The sequence below is a fragment of the Homo sapiens genome, chromosome 3 (assembly GCF_000001405.40).
Source record: "Homo sapiens chromosome 3, GRCh38.p14 Primary Assembly".
Classification (NCBI taxonomy): domain Eukaryota; kingdom Metazoa; phylum Chordata; class Mammalia; order Primates; family Hominidae; genus Homo; species Homo sapiens.
In genome coordinates, this window is record NC_000003.12 from 132361452 (window position 1) to 132368618 (window position 7167).

The 7167-nt window shown below is 41.4% G+C and overlaps 1 protein-coding gene across 3 annotated transcripts in view; it reads left to right on the forward strand.

The window, feature by feature from the left end:
- ACP3 (acid phosphatase 3) overlaps positions 1-6851 on the forward strand; it is a 50896-nt gene extending 44045 nt beyond the window's left edge. For 2 of the 3 annotated variants that reach the window (NM_001134194.2, XM_011512947.3), the window contains one exon: positions 6253-6851. In NM_001134194.2, the coding sequence (NP_001127666.1) occupies positions 6253-6371 (119 nt within the window). In that variant the 3' untranslated portion in view covers positions 6372-6851. Of the gene's footprint in view, positions 1-1715; positions 1757-6252 lie in introns of those variants that run through there. The other variant, XM_011512946.2, reaches the window with a different exon arrangement.

Consider the following 7167-nt stretch of genomic DNA (forward strand, 5'->3'; position numbering starts at 1 on the left):
GCTCACCATGCCAATACCTAAGCCTCTAGATCAAGTCAGTCACATGGTTTTTTCATTCTGATCTGTGAGTAGAGCTGAAGCAAGCAAAAGTCCAAGCCTATTGTCACCATTTCAAACGATGAATGTAGACATTTTATTCCATCCTCAACTGAGTCTCTCAGTGTTTCTTGGTAAATGTATTCACCCCTACTGAACACTTTTCCTACTCCCTGCAGGAAGGCCTGTTTGTCCCAAAAGTCTGACTCCATTTTGTTTTCTTTATTCTTATAAGCAAGATAATCTATTGATAAGTCCTTTAAGTTCTACTCTCACAATCTCAAAAATATCTCAGTAGCTTTAACCTTCCTTTGCTGCTGTCCCTCAGGAAACCACATTCCTCCCTGCATGGGCTGACCTCATTGTGAGTGTGAACCCATCTCCGCAGTCTCCTCAGGACCCCAGGGAATCTCTTGGCTAACTTCACTTTCTTCCTCTGCCCTGGCTCCTTCCCTTATACTACGAAAATGCCCAAATATCCTCTCATCAAAACACCATCAAGTGCTTATTCCACCTCACTCTCTTCAATCTCAATTTTCTTGAACTAATGATTCACATGTTCTTGTACTATTTTCTCACATCCATCTTATGCTTTAACTATTCTGTAAAATTATGTCCACCCTTCTGTCATCTCTTTTTTTTTTAACTTCTCTTTTGAAAGCCATCAGTGTCTAATTCAGTGGCCTTTCTTTCATTGTGAAGCAGCTATTAGTATCCCCAATTTACAGAGAAGAAAACTGAACCTCAGAGGATAACATGCCACAAGTAATAGGATCAGGATTCAAGCCTAACACTTTCCAACATCCTATTTCTACCATATCATACTCACTTTTCATTCCACTGTGTCTTGTGGACTACTTTCTTAGACCAATTTCCAAAAATAGGATTGGTGGGTCAAGATAAATGATTATTTAATAAGCAATAGATTTACTGAGTACCTCTTATGTACTCAATATTTTCCTATGTATCAAGCATTAAGCTTGCTGAGTAAACAGCAGCAGACAAGAAGACTGTCCCCATATGGCTTGCAGACCTTATGGAGAGGAGGGGTGGACGAGGAAATGAATAATTAAATCAGCCCTAACAGCAAAGTATGGTGAATTCTGCGATGAAGGGCATAAGGAGAAAACACAGCAGAGGCAATTAGCCTAATGGGTCAGAGAAGGCTTCTTGGAGGAGTGATGTTCAAACTGAAACCTGAAGGAGAAATGGTACTAAGCAGGTGAATGAAGGTGAGGAGAGAGGAGGATGTTACAGACAAAAGAGGAGAATGCATAAAGGCCAAGAGGCCAAAGGCAGCATAGAGCACTTTGGGAACTGGAAAAAGTCTAGTGAATGTGTGGAGAGCTGAGGCTGCAGAGGCAAGCACTAAGTGCTCCATAGGTCAAGTTGAGCTGTTGTGCTCATGGAAAGGTTTTAGGCAGAGGACAGATGCTGTAACTGGCTTCTTGTTTTAGGAAGACCCTTTTCAGTCATTACCTGTACGAGATCTCTTTGTATTAAGATACAATTAATCATGCTCTCTTTTCTCAGTGTCTAGGACAATGCTCTGGCAAACTCCTGAAATATTTTACAGTACAAAGGAGCATATCATTTAAAAATAAATAAATAAATAAATAAATAAATATCACAGGGAGAGAAAGCATACGCGCTCACCTGAGTCTTTTCTTTGTTTTCAGGTTCCTCATTCCACATTCAGTATTAGCCAGTATACCCAGGCCTCTGTCTTCTATGTCTACAATCCTTATTTCTACATCTAACTGTAGAATTCTTGACCTGTTTTGTCAAGCTGCCTACTGATAGTCTCTATCAGGATAATAACCTGTCTCAATCCCACACTGGAGACAAAATAAATTATCTTCTCTACTCCAAACCAATTCTTTTTTGTGGTCCCAATCTCAATTTATCTTCTCAATCACCCAAACAAGAAGCCATGAGATTGCCTTGACCACAGCTCCTCCCTTACCAGTATATGTAGCCTGTTACTAAAGCCTGTTAATTCTACTGCATCTCTTGAATTCCCTCCTCTTCGTTCCCAGGGCCACAATTGCGGTTCTAAGCCCTGAGTGTCATATTAAAGGTATTTTCAATAGTTCTCTATCAAGCCTAATGTATCTCCACCATCCTATCTTTTCCACAGTTTTTGTTTTTCTTAAACACAGAGTGGTTGGCCAGGCACGGTGGCTCATGCCTATAATCACAGCACTTTGGGAGGCCGAGGGGGTGAATCACCTGAGGTCAGGAGTTCGAGACCAGCCTGACCAACAAGGTGAAACCCCATCTCTATTAAAATACAAAAATTGGCCGGGCATGGTGGCAGGCACCTGTAGTCCCAGCCACTCAGGAGGCTGAGACAGGAGAATTGCTTGAACCCGGGAGGCGGAGGTTGCAGTGAACCGAGATCGTGCCACTGCACTCTAGCCTAGGCAATGAAGTGAAACTCCATCTCAAAAAATAAATAAATAAATAAAAATAAAATAAACACAGAGTGGGCTGTATCACTTCCATATGTAATAATTGCTGATGACTTCCATTTGCCCCACGTCAAACCAAGCACTCTAAAAACTGGCCCCTGGCCAGGCACAGTGGCTCATGCCTGTAATCCCAGCACCTTGAGAGTCCGAGGTGGGATAATCGCTTGAGCCCAAGAGTTTAGGACCTGCCTGGGTAACATAGTGAGGCTCTATCTCTACAAAAAATACAAAAAAATTAGCTGAGCATGGTGGCATGCATCTGTGGTCCCAGCTTCCCCCGGGAGGCTGAGGTGGGAGGATCACCCGGGCTTAGGAGGTTGAGGCTGCAGTGAGCAGTGATTGCACCACTGCACTCCAGCCTGAGCAATGCAGTGAGACCCTATCTCAAAAAACAAAAACAAAAACAAAAACAAACTGGCCCCCCATTTACACATGTGGTTTCACCTCCCTGAAGCCTGTATTCCAGTCATGTGTAACTCCTCATTATGTCCTAAACATGCCCTTGTGAAACTCTTTCTGTTTCATGGCAAAGTCTTACTCACCTTGCAGGTCAGCTCAATTCTTAGAAGACTTTCCAAACTCTTTCTCTTTCAAATAGAATACACTCTGCTGACTGCAACTTTCTCTTTGTTTCAATAGCATTTCTTTTGCACCTCCATTTTAGTAGTTATCACAGTATCTTGTAATTACCTTTCTGGTTCTCCTGCTAGACATTGAGCTCCTCGAGGGCAGAGATTATGGAACCTCAGCATCCAGTACAGCCTACCTGGTACATGTGTGCTCACCACATGTCTAGAAAGGAAAGAAGGAAGGATAAAGAGCAGAAAAGCATGTTCCATCAGACTGCTATGACAACACAGCCCATAAAAATAACTGAAAATAAATTTCTAAATACAGAGTCAGCCATGAAAATAGATTTTTAAGGATCACTACTATCTGCCTTCCTCATTTCCACTGAGTCCTTTCTTTCCCTCTTCAATTTCATTTAGTTGCCTTAAACTTATATTAAATCTATCTGCAGTTCTAATGAGACTGTCTCTCAGGGTATAACTTAAAACCACCTTTTCGTGATGCTAAGAAGCATCCTGGCATCATCAGAAAATACTGGACTAAGAGTTGGGAACTTATAAGTTCTAAGTCATTAAGTTTTTTCTACAAACATTTATTAGTACTCGTTATGTGCCAGATACTGTTCTCAGTGCTTGAGATACATTCATGAACAAAAAAGACAAAAGTTCCTGCCTTTGCAAAGCTTGTGTTCTACTAGAGGGAGAGAGGGATAGATAACAAATAATAAGCATAATAAGTGTTTTGGAAGATGAGGATCACAATGGCCAATTTGGGGTGAAGTGAAGGAGGATATACAAGATGCACTTTTAAATGGGAAGGTCTCATGGAGATGAGATTTAGGCAAAGAAAGCAAGGGATGTGTGGGAGAGCATTCAGGCCATGATAACAGGTATAGCAAAGTCACTAAGGCAGGACTGCTTGGCATGTTTGAAGAACAGCATAAGGATTATGAGGCCAGAAGTGAGTGAGTGAAGGGAGGGTGATAGGAGAGGAAATGTGAGGGGACTCATAGGAGACAGATGATGTGGATCCTCATAAACTATCATCATTAGAACTGTAGCTTTTATTCTGATTGAGATGAGCATTCATTGCAGACTTTGTTTTAAGGAGAGAAGTGGCATGATTTGACTTTAAGTCATTTGACTGCTGTGTTAAAAATGGATTGTGGTCCAGGCACGGTGGCTTATGACTGTAATCCCAGCACTTTGGGAGGTGCAGGTGGTGGTGGGTGGATCACCTGAAGTCAGGAGTTCATGGTCAGCCTGGTCAACATGGTGAAACCCTGTCTCTACTAAAAATACAAAAAAAAATTAGCCAGGCATTGTAGCGGGCACCTGTAATCCCAGCTACTGGGAGGCTGAGGCAGGAGAATCCCTTGAACCTGGAAGGCAGAGGTTGCAGTGAGCCGAGATGGTGCCACTGCACTCCAGCTTGGGCAACACAGCAAGACTCCATCTCCCAAAAAAAAAAAAGGATTGTGGCCTTGTGGCCAGGTGTGGTGGCTCACGTCTGTAATCCCAGGACTTTAGGAGGCTGAGGCAGATGGATCATTTGAGCTTAAGAGTTCAAGACCAGCCCGGGCAACATGACAAAACCCCATCTCTACAAATAATACAAAAATTAGCTAGGCATGGAGGTGCATGCCTGTATTCCCAGTTACTAGGGAGGGTGAGGTGAGAGGATCACTTGAGCCTGGGCAGTCGAGGCTGCATGAGCCAAGATCATGCCACTGCACTCCAGCTTGGGTGACAGAGTGAAACTCTGTCTCAAAAAAAAAAAAAAAATTACAAAGGAGAAAGGATAGATAGAAACAAGGGAACAAATAAGAGGCCATTATAGTGATCCTGGCAAAAGACGATGGTGGTTCAAAGCAGGGTGGTGGCAGAGAAGAAAAGAAGTCAGTGTTGGGATATATTTTTCAGTAAGACCAATAGGATTTCCTGATAGTGTAAGCTGTGAGAAAAATAAAGGAGTTAAAGAAGACTCCAAGAGTTTTATCCTAAGCCAACAGAAGAAGGGAGTTTCCATCAACTGAGAAGAGGGAAGGCTCTGGGAAGAGCAAATTTGGTGTGGGGAATGAGGATGGGGAGATCAAGAGTTCAGTTTTGGACTTGAGATTGAAATGCCTATTAGATATCTAAAGAAACATATCAAGTATACAATTGGATAAATGAGTCTTGCGCTTAAGATAGATGTCAGAGCTGGAGATTTATATTTGGAAGTAATTACTGAATAGATGGTTTTTAAAATCATGAGACTGATAAGATCCCAACCCCAATACAATTATCTGCTTAACCATAACCAGATTATCTAATTGCTCTGCTTCTTATTTTCCTCATTCTCTTAATGATAATGTCAGGTGAAATCAGTGATTTTCACCTGTCTTCTATGCTGCACTAGGGTTCTGTAGAAAGAGCTGATGGGATCAGAGGGATGTTTGCTCTCCTATTGCCTAAGCCAACAAGAAACCCTATATTTTTACAATGAAAAGACATACATTTAGAGATGGTACAAACTGGTATTTATGATGTGTATACTATAGTGGACTAGGGTGCGTGTATAGGAGAGTAACTTTCCAGATGAAATAATGAATTAGCATCTCATTACGAAATGGCCCCAAATATCTGCTTTTACTGGTCAGCTATCAAAAGAATATGTGTAAATAAAGGTACATATTAGAAATAGTACACAGTTATGCTAGAAATGTTTGCCATAGAGACAAAATGTGCACAAGATCTCCTCTTCAACAAATATTTACCTAAAAATCAAATTTAAAAATCGAAGGATTTCATTTCTTTTAGATCCAATTGATTGCAGTTGAGCATTCAGAATTTCCTTTGACCCTGAGACCATGGACAATTGGTAATATAACTGTAAAAAATGCATAAAGTTAGTGCTATAAGAGGACTTAGAAATACTTCAGCTAATTACCCTCCCTTTTCAGTGGGGAGCTGAATCTCAAGGGTCAAAGTTTATGCTGGAACTGGAACCTAGGTCATCTCCTGACTCCTAGTCCTGTGCTCTTCTTAGCACACACATAATGCTGATTTCAAGGCCTCTTTAGCAACTCCTCTGAAATTTGCAATTAAGGCAGAAAGCAACACTCACATGTGATCTTCCTATTTTCCTAATGCATTAATTTTACATTAATACTTTTCCTATTTTCCCACAGTTCTAAAGGTCATCTTTGCTGTTGCCTTTTGCCTGATATCTGCTGTCCTAATGGTACTACTGTTTATCCACATTCGCCGTGGACTCTGCTGGCAGAGAGAATCCTATGGGAACATCTGAACAGACAGCTGGATAAGCCAGGCCAACCTCCTGTGACACAGCATCTCTCAGTGGTGCCGCATCTAAAGGACAGGCTTTTGCCATGTGGGCATTGCCATCCTCACACCCTGCCTTTTGAATCTGCCCAGAGCAGGGTCTGAACTCACAGTGACCCACAGGCTGCTGCTGGATGAACACTCAGGCTACCTAGGTCTTCTCATAATGGAGTGGTAGTGCAGGCTGCTTGTTCAGCTAGAAAGAGGCTGTTATGCATAGGATGGTTGTATTCTCTGCCACAGTTGTCCGGAGAGAAATAAGAAGCCAAACTCCAATCAGCCTTTTACCTGCAAAGAGTGAAGGGTGAGAAGGTGGACAAAGACATAGATTAGAAAAATACTGGATATTGGGGGAAGTTAGACTAGAAGTATTATTATACAGGGTGATTCTTACGAAAGAAGACCCAATCATAAATTATAAATAAACTTTTTATTTAGCTATTAAGTAGGTTTAATACACATACATACACACATGCACATGCAAGCACACACACACACAACTGAAAAGAAATTTCTGCCCAGTGTTTGATAGCGGAAAGATTTCTGTTTGTGTGTCTGTATATTAACACACATACATACACATATCCATATTTAAAATGCCTACAGAAGAGGTATTTAATTCTCGAACTGTAATATCACCCACTTTATGTATGACTCAGGTCATCTGTTTACAATTTCTATAGTGGGGATTAACTGGAAAATACACATAGCCACTATCAGATACCTCCACTATCAGATCTGGATATTTTTAAAGTTTCCAT